At 42.1% G+C, this 18031-nt stretch overlaps 1 protein-coding gene, 1 long non-coding RNA gene and 1 pseudogene across 6 annotated transcripts in view; 1 reads left to right on the top strand and 2 right to left on the bottom strand.

Annotated features, from left to right (window-relative positions):
* Positions 1–18031, bottom strand: part of CMKLR2-AS (CMKLR2 antisense RNA) — a 62868-nt gene that overhangs the window by 34418 nt on the left and 10419 nt on the right. The gene's annotated exons all lie outside the window — the stretch shown is intronic.
* Positions 10269–10511, bottom strand: RN7SKP200 (RN7SK pseudogene 200; annotated as a pseudogene).
* CMKLR2 (chemerin chemokine-like receptor 2) overlaps positions 13914–18031 on the top strand; it is a 42597-nt gene continuing 38479 nt past the window's right edge. For 3 of the 5 annotated variants that reach the window (NM_001098199.2, NM_005279.4, XM_047443968.1), the window contains exon 1: positions 13914–14017. The gene's annotated coding sequence lies outside the window, so the exon portion shown is untranslated. Of the gene's footprint in view, positions 14018–14212; positions 14464–18031 lie in introns of all 5 variants that reach the window. The other 2 variants (NM_001261452.2, NM_001261453.2) reach the window with 1 other exon arrangement.

Here is an 18031-nt window from a genome sequence, read left to right as displayed (position 1 = left end):
GGTTGAGCAGTGCAGTGATGTGATACCATTTCTGGACTCTAAATATTAAATAAAATCTGCCACATGTATAAACACCTTCCATAAGGGGGTCTTTGAAAGAAAGCAGGAAAGGCTGGGTGCGGTGGCTTCTGCCTATAATCCCAGCACTTTGGGAGGCCGAGGCGGGTGGATCACCTGAGGTTAGGAGTTTAAGACCAGCCTGACCAGGGCCGGGCGCGGTGGCTCATGCCTGTAATCCCAGCACTTTGGGAGGCCGAGGCAGGCGGATCACAAGGTCAGGAGATCGAGGCCATCCTGGCTAACACAGTGAAACCCCGTCTCTACTAAAAATACAAAAAATTAGCCGGGCATCATGGCACATGCCTGTAGTCCCAGCTGTTCGGGAGGCTGAGGCAGGAGAATGGCGTGAACCCGGGAGGCGGAGCTTGCAGTGAGCCGAGATCGCGCCACTGCACTCCGGCCTGGGCAACAGAGCAAGACTCGGTCTCAAAAAAAAAAAAAAAAAAGACCAGCCTGACCAATATGGTGAAACCCCGTCTCTACTAAAAATACAAAAATTAGCTGGGCATGGTGGTGCACGCCTGTAATCCCAGCTACTTGGCAGGCTGAGACAGAAGAATTGCTTGAACCAGGGAGGCAGAGGTTGCAGTGAGCCAAGATTGTGCCACTGCACTCCAGCGACTGCACTTCAGCTGTTTGACACAGTGAGACTCTCAGAAAGAGAAAGAAAGAAAGAAGGAAAGAGAGAGAGAGAGAGAGAGAGAGAGAGGAAGGAAGGGAGGGAGGGAGGGAAGGAAGGAAGAAGGGGAGAGAAATAATCCTGGGAAAGTGCCTGAATTCCTAATGTGGGTAACTGAAGAAGAGAAAAGCCAAGCCGGCTGAGGGGTGGGGTGAAGAGGCCAGTGGGAGCAGAAGCCAGAGGTGACCCTGGGGATAGCCACGGGAAACTGAAAAATCAGGGTGCTCTCAGATGAAGCTTCACAGTAAGGTGTCCTGGTCCCCTTTGTGTCTTACTGAGGTTACCAGCAGAGCAACTCTTTCCATTCTTATTTGATGTTTATTGCCGCTCCTTCTCCTTCCTCCAGGACGCAAGAGTGCAGCCCAGCAAGCTGACACAGAGGGCCATGGGAGTGGCAGACATCCATCACAGCACCCTCACAACCCTGCCCTCTCTTGTCCCCAGTACTTGGCTTCTTGCTATCTTTAAACCAACCTGTGAACTTCAATTATTTTTTTCCCTTTATGTGGTTCCTTTCCATGAGGCTCTTAATTCAAAAACCCAACCCCCTGGGACACATCAGCCTTCCAGATCATGCCCAAGCAAGTCTGAGTCCTAAGATGAACTGGGCTTAGGTTATCCAGCAGGGATCCCTGCTGTGAACCTGCTGCAAGTGTAGAAGGGATCAGCCCCAGGGCAGTTGGCTAATTACTGCCTCATAGAAATATATCACTATGTCAGCAGTTCTGAGAGCACTCTTAGAGACAGACCCTGTGGTGAGCCAGAAAGAGCTGTTTTTCTGTCCACTGGAAAATATTTCTAAGACAAAGCCTGATCCACCAAAGCATTAGCTAGGATTTTAGGCCATGGGCAGATTAATCACATTCCTGCCCAGTGGGGCTCCACTGAGGGAAACCAGGGAGAGCTGCTAAGTGGGTAACTGCAGTGCCTCAATAAATGCACCAGGATTCAGGCAGGCAACAAATCCCAGATCCTGCCTGAAGATGGGGAAGGAGTTCCAATATCCCACCATGCTTGGTCCTCAGAGTTTGCAGACCTAGACTGGGTCAAAGTTTCCAACCATTTTACTTTCCTTACCAGTGTTCTTTGAATACTTACCAAGTCCTCTACAGACTTCCTAAAGTTTGAAGTGTCTCAACCTGCCTCACCCCCCAGCCCCAGCCCCAGCCCCAGCTCTTCTTGCTCTGATTTTAGGGCCCATAGACTGGGCCACCCTCTGCTAGTGCAACCCATTTTGGCAGGGAAGGAAGGGCTGGGTAGCATGATGCTGCCAAAGGGGGATCTATTTTTAACTTCCATTCTTGTGAAAAGATAAGAAAAAAACCTTCTCTGAAAACACAGAAACCTTCTCTGTGGTCCTACCAGAGAAAACAGATGTAGGTACCATTACTATGAGACCCAGATGGAGAACACACAGTTGGTGGCATTAAATTCTCCCTTGGCCACATTGGTAAGGTGTTATTGCAAGTGTATGTCTGACTGAACGCTACTCCAGAATCCATTAGACATCTTCTGTATTTTATTATGTTAAAATGTATCCCTAAATCAAATGGGCTAAGTTATGCTGCAATAACAAACACTTCCAAAATGTCAGTTGCTTAAAACAATAGAGGTTTATTCTCACTCTCCCTACACATCCATCATACCTTGGCTGGAAACTCTGTTCCAAGTTTACTCACTCTGGGACTCAGGGGAAAAGGAGAAGACATTCTCGAGAATATTGCCTGTCTCTCTGGCACAGGAAAAGAGAGAACATGGTGTTGTAGACCAAATTCTGAAAGTTCAAAAAAAAGGCAGGCATTATCCCCCTTCCCTCTCTATAGAATCTCTTCACATTAAAAAAGGTCAGCAAACAAACCTTTCTCAAACCCCTCTAGTTACTATTACTATTATTATTTTTATTAATATCTTTCCAACCTTTTTTTTTTCCCGAGACGAAGTTTCACTCTTGTTTCCCAGGCTGGAGTGCAATGGCACGATCTCGGCTCACCACAACCTCCACCTCCTGGGTTCAAGAGATTCTCCTGCCTCAGCCTCCTGAGTAGCTAGGATTACAGGCATGTGCCACCACACCCGGCTAATTTTTTGTATTTTTAGTAGAGATGGGGTTTCTCCATGTTGGTCAGACTGGTCTTGAATTCCTGACCTCAGGTGATCCGCCCACTTCAGTCTCCCAAAGTGCTGGGATTACAGGCGTAAGCCACCGCACCCAGCCCTTTCCAGCCTTTTAAAAGTAATTTCTCACCCAGGCGCGATGACTCACACCTGTAATCCCAACACTTTGGGAGGCCCAGGCCGGCAGATCACCTGATGTCAGGAGTTTGAGACCAGCCTGGCCAACATGGAGAAACCCCGTCTCTATTAAAAATGCAAAAAATTAGCCAGGTGTGGTGGCGCATGCCTGTAATCCCAGCTACTCAGGAGGCTGAGACAGGAGAATTGCTTAAACCTGGGAGGTGGAGGTTACAGTGAGCTGAGATCGTGCCACTGCACTGCAGCCTGGGCGATAGAGTGAGACCCCTGTCTCAAAAGAAAAAAATAAGTAATTTCTCACTGACTGCACTTGTCCACCCCCTTTCCTCTAACTCTCCCCAAATCATTTGGTCTGCCTTGCTCCTCGACCACCCATCTGTAGATGCTCTTGTAAAGTCACCAATGACTCACCTACTGCTTAAACCAAGGAATACTTTTCCCATTCTACCAGTCATCTCTGAAACATTTCTGCCTGATGGCCATACCTTTCTTTAAATCTTTTTGTTTAGTATTTTAGGACACCAGCATATTTTAAAGACCCAGATATCATATGATTAATAAGCATTTCAGGATGTATTGCTAACTAACAAACTTTTTTAAACATAATCATCTTTCCATTATCACACCTGACAAAATTAACAAGGGATCCTTTACTTACTTCATCTAATACCCAGTGTGTGTTAAAATTTCCCTGATTGTCTCAAAGGCAGCCAGCCTTCAAACAAGGTCTACACATTTTATCTGGTTATAAAGTCCCTTAAATCTCTTTTATTTTATTAGTCCCTCATCTCTCCTTTCATTCTCGTACAATAAATTTGTTGGAGAATCATTTATCCTTTAGAATGTTACAAATTTTAGATGTGGCTGGTTGCTTTCTCATAATGTCATTTAACTCTTCCTCCATCCCCGGCATTTCTGGCAAAATGGTAGTTAGATTTAGAGATTTGATTCTATTTGGTTCAATTTACTTTAGGCAAGAATACTTCATAGGTGATGCTGTGCACTTTCTATTGTATCACATCAAGACGCACGGAATGTCTGGCTGGCCCACATTTAGTGATGTTAAGATCAATCAGTTGGGTTCAGGTAGTAGCCTAATTCTTCATTTGTAAAGTTCCTCCATCAACTTTTAATCTACTTATTTTAGCATCCACTGAAGATGATTGCCTAGATCCATTATATTTTTAGGAGTTGCAAAATGGTGATTTTCTAATCCTTTCATTTTTTTTTCCACCTACAGTTATAAGCTGGATTTTTTATGTAAAGGAAAACTTTCCTTTATTAATAGTTTGGCTATCCTGGGCATAGTATATACAGGAAACACAGGAAAATGCTTAATTCTTTCCTTATTTTCAGGGTAATGACAGTAAATGAGTTATAATGTCCTAATGACCTCCAAATGGTGACCAATTAGTTTTTCCTTCAGTGTCATTATGAACTCATAGATTTTTAATATATTTGATGAGCTGTAGTCATTATTTATCTTGATTTCTGCCCAAAATGTCTATTCTGAGACCAGAGAATGGCCCTTCAAGATGGCTCTTTTATGGCCAGGTGCAGTCGCTCACACCTGCAATCCCAGCACTTTGAGAGGCCGAGGCAGGAGGATCACCTGAGGTCAGGAGTTCAAGACCAGCCTGGCCAACATGGTGAAACCCTGTCTCTACCAAAAATACAAAAATTAGCCAGGCGTGGTGGTGCATGCCTGTAGTCCCAGCTTCTCAGGAGGCTGAAGCAGGAGAATCACTTGGACGCGGGAGGCGGAAGTTGCAGTGAGCCGAGATCACGCCACCACACTCCAGCCTGGGTGACAGAGTGAGACTCCATCTCAAAAAAATAGATGGCTGTTTTATCATTTTGACTTAATTTATAACTTCTTTGTTTTCCAGCTCATATAGGTACTAACCTCATATAGGTAGTGTACATTTCCTATCATTTTTCCAAAGACTTCTGGCAGCTTTGTAAAGAAAATGGATATTTAGAGACTGTAATCTAGGCACAACTGGAGCTCGTCACTTGCTTTTTATTACTTCTAGGTGTTTTGGAGAACAGAGCTAAAATTACATTTTTAAGAGAAAAATATAATTTTGAGTTCATTCTTATACTTCCAATTCAAATTTAAAATTACAATGTTTTAACTTAACCTCCTTGATTCTTTAAATCTTTTTTTATATTTTTTCTTTCTTTTTTTAAATTGTTTTAAATTATTTTATTCATATTTATTTATACATTTCTTTTGGGTTTTGTTACCCATGAATATAAACTTCCTTGATTTTTGTACATTATTTCTCTGCTCTTGTACTGATTACTGAATATCTTCATTCTAAATTATATTTATGTAAGTTTTAATTTCACTTTACTTTTCAATATATCTAGAATATTTTCAGATAATGCCAATATTTCTACTATCAATAAATACTGATTGCAGTTTTGAGTTTCTTTGCCATTCTTTTGTTCTTAAATTATATCTCATAAGGATGTACAGGAAAAATACTGTATTTTAAAGTCACTTGAAATGATTTTTTTCTCTGTATGAATATGCTACCAACTTGACATACAGTTAGGTTCATTAGTTTCAGGTTGTTTTTCATTTTTAAAGACTGCTGTCTTCATTTGATTCTGTTTTATTCATTTAATTAAATAAAAAATATGATTACAAAAACAGAATTATATATTGAGATACATGTTTTTTGGTTTTTGTAGGGACAAGGTCTTGCTCTGTCACTCAGGCTGGAGCACAGTGGCAAAGTCATAGCTTATTACAGGCTCAAACTCCTGGGCTCAAGTGATCCTCCCACCTCAGCTTCCCAAGTAGCTGGGATTACAGGCATGAGCCACGATGCCCAGCTCAAGTTACTTTTTAGATACCTTTTGTTGCAAAGGGAATGGATTGCAGATAGGGACAGCTTTCATCCTTATCTTTTTCACCTTTTATTCTACCCTATTTATAGATAACCATTTTAATATAAGTATATACAGATGTGTGTGTGAGCGCATGTGTATACACACACATATTCACATATAGACACATATGCACACACTTTGTCTTAATCAAACATTAGCATACTATAATACAGTTCTAGACCTTCATCGCACCATCTTGCCATCAGTATTTGATGAGCTCTCCTCTCCCTCTGAAACAAGTGACTAATCACAAAACTGAAAGTTGAAGAGTCTCATTCTAGAGAGGAAAGACCTCTCCTCGAAAATGCGTGGTCAGTGCCTTTCTCAGGGCTGGGCCCTTTATCTCCAAGTGCAACAGCACTTAATCAGTTTGACTCTGCTTTTTCTACCAGCAAGTAATTTCAGTGCCATTTCCATTTTCTGTTCTGGCCAAGAGTGTCCTGCTCTTTGTATTTATCACCCTTATGTGCATTGGTGCCATAATAATTTTGGTTTTGTTTCCAGACAAATTTCCAAAGGTGACATTAACTGCAACTTTTTGATAGCCACAATGACAGGAGAGGAAATAAAATATCAAGTATGCTCTTTTTATTATGCTTTAAAGCACTATAAATTTGTATTCATTGCAGAGGGCTTGTGGGCTGTAGCTAAAGCTATAAGCTTCCAACTCTGTTGCTATCTGACTCTAGAGGATGCAAGAGAGGCTTTTGTTTTTCCATTTCAATATGCTTTATAATTCAACAAAAATTTCTCCTCACGTTGCTTCCTGGATTTCATAAAAACTTAAATGGAAAATATTAAGTAGCTTAATAGCAAAGCACCACGAAGTAGCATGCTTGGAATAACATTTTTAAAATATAGTCTCATTATATTAAATAAGTCTCATTATTGTAATTATGCTGCTACAAGTACAGTGAATGACATATCACGTCATTATTTAATTTTATGGAAAAAGCTTTCTAAATTGTTGACAGATAACACCAGATTCTCTTTTTATTTTGCCTAAATTGCAGCCTGTGCTAAGGTTTTGTCTTTTACTTTAATATTTCTTAAAATGTACTTATCCTTTAGGATACAACTTGATAATACTTTATTTCAGCATAAGATAAACCAGTAATTGCTTGGAAGACAGGTTTGACAGCACTGAAACTTTTGTGTGTGGCAATAAATTTAGTTGTCACTTTTTAAAATGCCTTAAAGAACTCTGTAGAGTATGATATTATGCAGCTATTAAAAGCATGTTTGTGAATAATATGTAATGACACGAAAAAATGCTCATGATGTAAGTAAAATGGGTAGGCTATAAAACTCCATGTATGACCTAATCTCACATAGATATTTTTTAAATATTAAAAATATGCCAAAATGTCAAGACTGGTTTCTCTAAATGGCGGGGGGAGGGTTGAGAATGATTTTTGTCAGTTTCAAAATGAGGTCTCCTTGTGTTGCCCAGGCTGGTCTTGAACTCCTGGACTCAAGTGATTCTCCCACCTCGGCCTCCCAAAGTGCTGGGATTATAGGCGTGAGCCACCATGCCTCGCTGCAACTGTTTTAATTGAAAAAAAAAGGTTTTGGATGGGCACAGTGCTCATGCCTGTAATCCTAGCACTTTGGGAGGCCGAGGTGGGCAGATCACCTGTGGTCAGGAGTTTGAGACCAGCCTGGCCAACGTGGCGAAACCCCGTCTCTACTAAAAATACAAAAATTAGCCAGGCTTGGTGGCAGGTGCCTGTAATCCCAGCTACTTGGGAGGCTTAGGCAGGAAAATCGCTTGAACCCAGGAGGCGGAGGTTGCAGTGAGCCGAGATCGTGCCATTCCACTCCAGCCTGGGCAACAAGAGCAAAACTCTGTCTAAAAAAAAAAAAAAAGAAAAAGAAAAAAAGTTTTTTGTTTTAGGGGGTTTGGGGGTTTTCTTTTCTTTCTTTCTTTCTTTTTTTTTTTTCTTTTTTTTAATGAGACAAGGTATTGCTCTATTACCCAGGCTGGAGTACAGTGGCATGAATACAACTCACTGCATCCTCAACCTCCCAGACTCAAGCACTCCTCCCACCTCAGCCTCCCGAGAAGCTGGGACTACAGCCGTGCACCACCACACCTGGCTACTTATTTGTATTTTTTGTAGAGATGGAGTTTCGCCATGTTGCCCAGGCTGGTCTTTAACTCCTGGACTCAAGTAATTTGCTAGCCTCAGCCTCCCAAAGTGCTAAGATTACAGGCATGAGCCACTGCACTCAACCAAAGTTACTATTTTAAAAGTTCCTTTGAATGAGTGAGTGGCAGGTGCTACAGTGTGACCCTGACTGTAATGCAGTAAAGCCTAAACAAGCTGCTAGCATCTTATTCTATGGATGGTTTCATGCCAAAGATACCAAGCATCTCCAAAGCCTATGGTAAAGACAATGGTCTGGGCTCTTTTCTATCCTTCTTCTTCCAGGAACTCCACCTGTACCTCTGCCACTCCAGGCAAATTAGTCTGTCCTGTCAGGACCTGCTTGGACTGTTCTTTCTATTTACATTGCCACTGTGAGGTTGATTCCCTTCTTCAGGATGGCTGAAAAGATCAGTTGAGATCTCCTTTTGAAAATTCAGGGGGCCAGGCGCAATGGCTCACGCCTGTAATCCCAGCACTTTGGGAGGCTGAGGCGGGTGGATCACCTAAGGTCAGGAGTTCGAGACCAGCCTGGCCAACATGGTGAAACCCTGTCTCTACTAAAAAATACAAAAACTAGCCAGGCGTAGTGGCAGGAGCCTGTAATCCCACCTACTCGGGCGGGAGAATTGCTTGAACCCGACAGGTGGAGGTTGCAGTGAGCCGAGATCGCACCATCACACTCCAGCTTGGGGGACAAGAGCGAGACTTCATCTCAAAAAAAAAAAGGGAGGTAGTCCAGGCACAGTGGCTCATGTCTGTAATCCCAGCACTTTGGGAGGCCGAGGCAGGAGGATCACTTGAGGCCAAGAATTTGAGACCAGCCAGAGCAACATAGCAAGACCCTGCTTCTACAAAAAATTTAAAAATTAGTGAGGTGTGGTGTGACAAGCCTGTAGTCCTAGCTGCTCAGGAGGCCGAGATGGGAGGATCACTTGAGTCCAGGAGCTATAATCACACCACTGTATTCCAGCCTGGGCAACAGAGTGAGACCCTATCTCTAAAAAAAAAAAAGAAAAGAAAAAAATATCAAGGAAGTAGTTGTTTAATAGGTATAAAGTTTTAGATTTTCAAGGTAAAAACATTCTAGGGGTCTGTTTCATGACAATATAAAAGTGAATTACTGAACTGTACACTTAAAAATGGTTAAGGTCCAGGCCAGGCTTGGTGGCTCTCGCCTGTAATCCCAGCACTTCGGGAGGCCAAGGTGGGCAGATCACGAGGTCAAGAGATCGAGACCATCCTGGCCAACATGGTGAAACCCCGTCTCTACTAAAAATACAAAAATTAGCTGGGTGAGGTCGCGCGCGCCTGTAGTCCTAGCTACTCAGGAGGCTGAGGCAGGAGAATCACTTGAACCCAGGAGGTGGAGATTGCAGTGAGCCGAGATTGTGCCACTGCACTCCAGCCTGGGCGACAGAGCGAGACTCCATCCCCACCCCCGTAAAAAAAATGGTTAAGGTCCAGACACATGCCTTACAACTGTAACCCCAGCACTTTGGGAGTCTGATGTGACAGGATCACTTAAGCCCAGGAGGTCAAGGCTGCAGTGAGCCATGATCATGCCACTGCACTCCAGCCTGGGTGACAGGCTGAGATCCTGTCTAAAATAATAATAATAAGAAGTAAATAAAAATAAAAGTGGTCAAGATAAGTCAGGCACAGTGGTGTGTATCTGTATTCCCAGTTACCCAGAAGGCTAAGGCAAGAGGATCACATAAGCCCAGAAGTTTGAGACTATAATGTACTATGATAGCACCTGTGAATAACCACTGCACTTCAGTCTAGGCAAAATAGCAAGACCTCCTCTCTTTTAAAAAATGGTTAAGACAGTAAGATTTATGTGTTTTTTACCACAGTTTTTTTTTAGAAAGAAAAGTTTCTAAAAATTCAGTACAGAGGCTCCAACAGAACAGAAGAAACCCAATGAACCGGGACATACATTGATAAGTTTGTGAAGGGGATCAGAATATGCCACCCCCAAATATACCACTTTGGTATAAGGAATATTTTGAGCTGAAGGCAATTAAGAAATAGTGGACACAGGAAGAACTTTTGCTGTCTTCCTTTCTGCCTAAAACCAGTGCATAAGTTTCCCTTTGTACAGGTAACACAGGTTTCCATTTATAAAGATATGTTTCTCTCTAGTACCAGGAGAGGAGAACAAATTTAACCACCAGACTATCTTATCACTGGAGATGACACTGAATTGAGTCTGCATAACAAACTTGGGAGCTTATTTGGAGGTTCTAAAAGGGGAGCACAGCTACTCTTATACCCTTGACCAAGACCAGTCCTTCTTTATTGGGGATGGTCATCCTCTTCCACCAAGTGTGCACTTCGAGAGGGATGCACATGGAGTGGTGAGGGAGGAAGGGGACACCCGCCTAGACATCCAGATCAGCTGAATCAACCCTGGCAATCAATGGGGTGAGAGATGTCACAACCAGACCGCCCTCACATCCTGCATAACAAACTTTACTTAACAAGCCTTGTCTACTATACATTTCCTAGTCACCTTCCCACAATTTACTGCCCCTAGAAGCCCAAACCACCTCACTTTCCTTTGTCTAGTCACTTCTCTACAATTTATCACCCTTTGTTAAAATGGTATACAAGCTCTGAACTGCTTCTTTGGGTTTTTAATTCTTTTCTGTGAAGCCTCTGTGTGCTCGTGAAATAAATCTTTTTTCTCCTGTTAATCTGTCTTTTGTCAGTTCAGTTTGCAAGCCCCAGCTTCCAAATTTAAGAGGGTACACAGGAACTTTTTCCTCCCCTACATTACTTTGATGTCTCTGTGTACCATTGCAGTGGTGTATCTATGCTGGCATCTATAGTAGATCAATTTTTAGTACTCTCTTTTTCAATATGACCAGAATAATTTCAGTAATATCATGAAATGAAACAAAAACTGCAGATGGTGAGGTGTTTTTTGTTTGTTTGTTTGTTTTAGAGTCTCCTTCTATTGCCCAGACTGGAGTACAGTGGCATGATTGTGGTTCACTGCAGCCTCAATGTCCTGGGCTCCGTCTCACATCTCAGCCTCCCAAGTAGCTTGGACTACATGCATGTGCTGCCACACCTGGCTAATTTTTACAGACAGGGTCTCACTATGTTACCCTGGCTGGTCTTGGACTCCTGCACTCAAGCAATCCTCCTGTCTCAGCCTCCCAAAGTGCTGGGATTTCAAGTGTGAGTCACCACACTGAGGCATGAGCTACCACAGAATTTTTTTTTAATTGAACCTCATAATATATAATTGTGCCAGGAAACTAAATTAAAAATAAATGAGTAATATATATCCACAGTACAAAAAAAGAAAAAATGGACAATGATTTCCTCACAGTTTTTATATCTAACAAATTTGACCATAGAGCTCTTGGTTACAGTATGACATAATAATATTTTATGCAAATAATTGTCCAGCAATTAATAACTAAATTTTAATAAAACTGAAATGTCTGCAGAAGGTACAATTCAGGCAACTAGTAAATCACGTCATTGCCATAATGCCTTTACTTCTTGATTCAGTTTGTAGTTTTAAAACAGAGCATTAAAAAAACTTTAAAAAATTTTTTTCCTTCCTCTTTTTTTTTTTTTTTTTTGAGACAAGGTCTTGCTCTGTCACCCAGGCTCCGGAGTGCAGTGGCATAATCACACCTCACTGCAGTCTCAAAGTCCCGGGGTCAAGTGATCCTCCCACCTCAGCTTCCCAAGTAGCTGGGACTACAGGTACAAGCCACCATGCCCAGCAATTTTTTTTTTTTTTTTTGTAGAGACAGTCTCACTATGTTGTCCAGTCTGGTCTTGAACTATTGGGCTCAAGTGATCCTCCTGCCTCAGCTCCCAAAGTGATCATTTTTTTAAAATAACTTTTAGGCCAGGCATCATGGCTCATGCCTGTAATCCTAGCACTTTGAGAGGCCGAGGCAGGTGAATCATCTGAGATCAGGAGTTCAAGACCAGCCTGGCCAACATGGCAAGACCCTGTCTCTACTAAAAATACAAAAATTAGCTGGGCGTGGTGATGCATCCCTGTAATCCCAGCTACCGGGGAGGCTGAGGCAGGAGAATCACTTGAACCCGGGAGGCGGAAGTTGCAGTGAGCCGAGAGCATGCCACTGCACTCCAGTCTGGGTGACAGAGTGAGACTCCGTCTCAAAAAAAAAAAAAATTAATGTAAAAAATATCCAAATTCAGCCAAAAATTTCATCTATGGACTAAAATTTACAATTGCCAAAGGAAAAAAAAATAGTACACCTTGAAGCACTTTTTGTTTCACTGTTTAAAATTTTAAAAAACTAAAAATTCCAAGAGAGAATATGGAATAAAGAAGTTGAAATGACAAGTTCTGCTTCTTTATTTTGCCATGGTTGTGCTATCATTATGTATTTTAAATCTGTTGTTTGAATGCAGGCACATGTAGATCACAATGGGAAAATGCAAGCTGTGCCAGTGTTTTGGAGCCATTATCAACTTAATCTCAAGAGAAAGCATATCTGAATCAACACATGGCATCGGGGCATCTTTATAATTGGGAGTTTTTTCAGTTATCTTCAATGTAAAATACATTGTCTATTAAAGAGAAGTAACAAAAATTAAAATAAGAATACTTAGCTTTTATGTAAAATACATTGTCTATTTAAAAGTAGATTATACATATTCATAAAACTACAGCTCATTATAATCACAGTAATTGTTCACAACTGAAACCAAAACCAACAAGAGGTCTCTTGAGGGGAGGAGTATTTCATCATTGACTTGAGAATTGCTGGCACATGGTGCCAACAAAAAGCAGAAGGGCTTTAGTTGGTTTTATTATCGTTTTTAAATTCCCTACAGACAGTAGTCCCTTTATTGCCTATACCTAGGTGGACTGCTCCCTACTACACGGCCTTTCGTCATACTTCCATTCCATAGTTAAGCTCAGCAAGGTTGGTTTTGTTAATTCCATAATGCTTTATAATGCATTCAGGTTTTACTAGGGAAACACTGGGGATTCATTTTCTTTTAATGAACAAATCTAAAGCTCCTTATGCAGTAAAAATAAGCACCCAGTGACTTATTCTGCATATTCAATTTTCCTAAATGGAAGAAACTCAATAGGAAAAGAATTAGAAAAAGATACAAAAATTGAAAGTGTAAATTGCTGGAGGATCCAGACAGTGTCCATGAGTGAGGAGGACAGAGGAGAAAGGTGTGGAGCTGGGATGCAATGCCCTGCCAAAAGCGGGCAGGTGGTGCTGGGAGTAAGCCACTACGCAGACACCTCGAACAGTATCCCTGTTGGGACATGGGCCCAGTGTACCCAGATCTGCTAATTTTTTCATGAGGAGCCGATAATCTAGATGGCTAAGATTTCTGACTTCTAAATGTTGGAAATTAATTCAAACTCTAGAAAACACTGCTTCACAAACAAAACACATTCACAGCTGCAGTGAGCCCCCAGGCTACCAATTTCCTAATGAAAAATGCAAAAGTAGCAGCTGAACAAGTTTAAAGAGGTTGAGAAAATATGCTGTCTTATCTGATCCTTTTCCTTTCCTAAAATGTGGCATTTTGGAAAAATCCAGATACACTTACATCATAGCCACAATTATCTGCAGTTTAATGAGAAAAGTAGCATAATTAGAGTAGGTAATTGGGAGTGACCTGAATGTCCACAGCAGCCCTTTCTCTTAAATCAGGGCCAACAATGGTGTCACCCAGATGCTGTTGACTAACTGATGTACAACAGATTTACTTAACCACTGGCAAACCACATTTCCTTTTCCAGGGCAATAACTTAAAATATTATGTATTTCCCTTTGTTGCAAAGAGAGGAAATACTTCTTCCTAGACTCAGGGCAGCTGTGACCCGTCCTCCCAGAGAAATCATTAAACCACAAGGATTCAGACAGAGCCCAGAGCCCTGAAAACTTTGGCCACGCACTTTCCCGCAGCAGCCACAGGCACCGGCAACTTCAGAGAGGTGAGTGCTTGCTTTGCCCCCCAAAGCTTCACACCCCGCGCATGCCTTGTGTCTGAGCCAGTATATTGTAGTTAAGAAAACCAACCTAAAAATGCTTTGTATCTGGATCTCTTTTGAATTCGTATTTGGCATATTAAAAGTGAAGGTTTATTCAAATTAGAGATAAAACAGAAGCTGTTCCCCACATTTCTACAGGTAATTAGAACTTCGGAAATCTTAGTGGAAAAGATGGAGAACTAAGTCCTCCGCAGACTTTCCCACTAAGTATCCTCAAGAATCACTTTCTGCATCGGGCAAAACAGAATTAGAAGCAAGAATCTAGACAAGGCTTCGTCCTCATTTAGAAGCCTTTAAGAATTCTCTGCTTTAAGTGGATGAAAACGTCCCTGTATGGCTGGGTTGCCATGGTTCCTCGCTGTGACCCCCAGGGCTACTGAGCCTGCCATGTGAGTCCATTTCAGTCTCTGGAAAAAGCTTTGTGTGTCTCCAGCCTCACAGTTTAACCAAGTAAGGGCCTCCTAAGTCTAATCTCCAATGTGACTACCCTGAAGAGCCAGCCCTAAGAAAGGCATTTACACAAGATAGTCATCACCCTGTATGACAGGAGGAAAAAAATTGAAGTGTCTTTGTTTTTCATAAATCAGCTTCTTTGTAAGAAAGTGTCCTTTTGTATATCTCTCTTCCAATGCTTTTGTTCCGGATAGATTTTTTTTTTCAAACAACAACAAAAAGATTAGAATGATCACTGACAAAAATTAATATGACTTGATGATATAATATTCTCCCAAATGTCTATTTCTAAAATTTCTATCATCAGAGTTTTTAGATGTTTGGGAGAAATGTGCTATTTAACGTCATGCAAGAAAGAGAAAGAATAATGCTAACCTTAATGATATCAAAAGATGAAAGGCCAAGTTGGCAACCCCAATTTTTCTCATGGGGTTGATGGGAGGGGAGGGGATGACCCACTTAAAATCGCCCAAACCTTTCTCACTATTAAAGCTTCATTAGATTAATATAAATCTTCTCTTTTACAATGTAATATCTTCAAAAGAACAGTTTTCTAATAGTGATAGTTCAAGCATTAGTGGAGAAATGCTATTTGTATGAAATGGGAGATCCTAGTCCCCAGAATAATATGATAGCGGCATTGTGTATCTTCCATCTCTGAGCCCAGTTGGCCCTATAGACCTGCTTGCACACATTCTTCTGTCAAAAACCTGTTGAGACCAGGCATGGTGGCCCATACCTGTAATCCCGGCATTTTGGGAGGCTGAGGCAGGAGGATTACTTGAGCCCAGGAGTTTAAGACCTGCCTGCGCAATACAGTGAGACCCTGTCTCTATTTTTATTTCGAGATGGAGTCTTGCTCTGTCGCCCAGACTGGAGTGCAGTGGCACTATCTTGGCTCACTGCAACCTCCACCTCCTGGTTCAAGCAGGTCTCCTGCCTCAGCCTCCCAAGTAGCTGGGGACTACAGGTGCACGCCACCACTTCTGGCTAATTTTTGTATTTTTAGTAGAGACAGGGTTTCACCATATTGGTCAGGCTGGTCTTGAACTCCAGACCTCAGGTGATCCACCCACCTCCACCTCCCAAAGTGCTAGGATTACAGGCATGAGCCACCGCACCCAGCTCCTGTCTCTATTTTTAAAAATAAAAATAATATGAAAAGAAACCCCTTGAAATACTAGCCATAACAGCCTTCAGAAAATTTGCAAATGGTTTTTTAGAAAGTGGCAAAACTGTCCAGAAATCCTTCTACCTGGCAGAAGTTTTGCTATCCCTTCCCCTCATACACTCAATTCTATAAATATCTCTTCCAATAAGGAGATGGATAGCCCAATGGTTAAGTTTCTTAAGATAATGGTATTTGAAGTCAGAACGTCTGGAGCCAAACCCCAACTCTGCCACTTACACAAAAGGCTCTCTTAATAGATCTCCAATTAACTGACCCACCAGCTTAACCAATGCACCAAACAGCCTGGCTGGTATCTACTATACCCTTAATGCTCAGAGGTGGCAGGTGGCTTATCTCTAGTACACCTGAGCACTTCAGCTACTTTTGCATAACAGATCAACTGCAAGTCATGCCTTAGGGTGTCAAAGGGAAGCTCTTCAAACATACCTCAAACTATAAGGCACATTTGCAGAGATATTTTATTTATTATTCCTTTTATTTATTGTTTCTTAGACTAATTTCAAAGCTAAGCAAGCATATGTTTTAATTGTTTTAGGTGGTGGCTAAAACATAAAAATGCTTACACTTTCCTGGGTTTCAGTGTGTACTGTGCTTAAACTATGCGTGGCACATAGGACAATCCTTGATCAATGTCATTTCTCTTGTCGCTTTTCATATTCTTTGCTACTCAATGGTTCCTGCTCTATAGCCAAAAATAAACTCATGTAAAGTAACCAAAACTTCCTGAGATTCTCCTCAATAATGGCTTTTACAGATGAAATTGTGATTTTGTGGATTACAGAACATAGTATAGACTATAGTAAATACTAATACTGCTAACGCAAAGGAATGGAAACTAGCAGAGCTCTACTAAGTACCCCCTTCACTGACGACATCTATTCATCCGGTCTCACAAAACACTGAAAAATATGCCAAGATTGAATCAAGGGATTGCGGGTAGGTGTGGAAGCCTATACATTCTTATAGGGCAGAGGGATATTTGTAGTTTGAAAAAGTGCACCCCCTACCCCCGACCTCCACCGTGAGAATTCCTGCTTTAGATTTCCTAGACTTGGTCTTTAACAGCGGAAAAAAACAAAATCCTGTGCTTCTCTGGCAGCTGACCTTTCATGGCCTAACAATGTGCAATTTCAGGTATCACATGGTTGAGCTGAAGTTAGACCATACAAAAATAAAGATAGCGGCCAGGTGTGGTGGCTCACACCTGTAATCCCAGCACTTTGGGAGGCCGAGGCGGGCGGATCACGAGGTCAGGAGATCGAGACCATCCTGGCTAACATGGTGAAACCCCGTCTCTACTAAAATACAAAAAAAAATTAGCCGGGCGTGGTGGCGGGCGCCTGCAGTCCCAGCTACTCGGGAGGCTAAGGCAGGAGAATGGCGTTAACCCAGAAGGCGGAGCTTGCAGTGAGCCGAGATCGTGCCACTGCACTCCATCCTGGGCAACAGAGCGAGACTCCGTCTCAAAAAAAAATAATAATAAAAAATAAAATTAAAAAAATAAAGATAGCTAGCCGTCAGAGGTAAGCTCACCACATCAAGGCATGCCTACCTTCAAGCTCCATGCTTCTCATCCCTTGAATTTATGAATTCTGAGTCCTGCCTCAGGTACACAGATGTGCCCACATCTGCCAGGCCCACAAATGGTGACCAGGGATAAAAATCAAACCTTTAGGCCGGGCACTTTGGGAGACCGAGGTGGGTCAGAAATTCGAGACCAGCCTGGCCAATGTGGTGAAACCCCGTCTCTAATAAAAATACAGAAAAATTAGCTGGGCATGGTGGCGCATGCCTGTAATCCCAGCTACTTGGGAGGCTGACGCAGGATAATTCCTTGAACACGGGAGGCGGAGGTTGCAGTGAACCGTGATCACACCACTGCACTCCAGCCTGGGCAACAGCGAGACTCCGTCTCAAAAAAAAAAAAAAAAAAAAAAAAAATCAAGTCTTTAAGGCCAGGCGTGGTGGTTCATGCCTGTAATCCCAGCACTTTGGGAGACTGAGGCGGGTGGATCACCTGAGGTCAGGAATTCAAGACTAGCCGGGCCAACGTGGTGAAACCCCGTATCTACTAAAAATACAAAAATTAACCGGGCGTGGTGGTAGGTGCCTGTAGTCTCAGCTACTCCAGAGGCTGAGGCAGGAGAATCACTTGAACCTGGGAGGCGGAGGTTGCAGTGAGCCGAGATTGTGCCATTGCACTCCAGCCTGGGCGACAGAGCGAGACTCCGACTCAAAAAAAATAAATAAAAATAAATAAACGTTAAAATTCACACTTAACCAATATGTGATTCCATCTCTTCACTATCAGG

This window comes from Homo sapiens, chromosome 2, assembly GCF_000001405.40.
Source record: "Homo sapiens chromosome 2, GRCh38.p14 Primary Assembly".
NCBI lineage: Eukaryota > Metazoa > Chordata > Mammalia > Primates > Hominidae > Homo > Homo sapiens.
The sequence above is the reverse complement of the archived record's forward strand: the minus strand, read 5'-3'. Positions and strand labels throughout refer to the sequence as shown.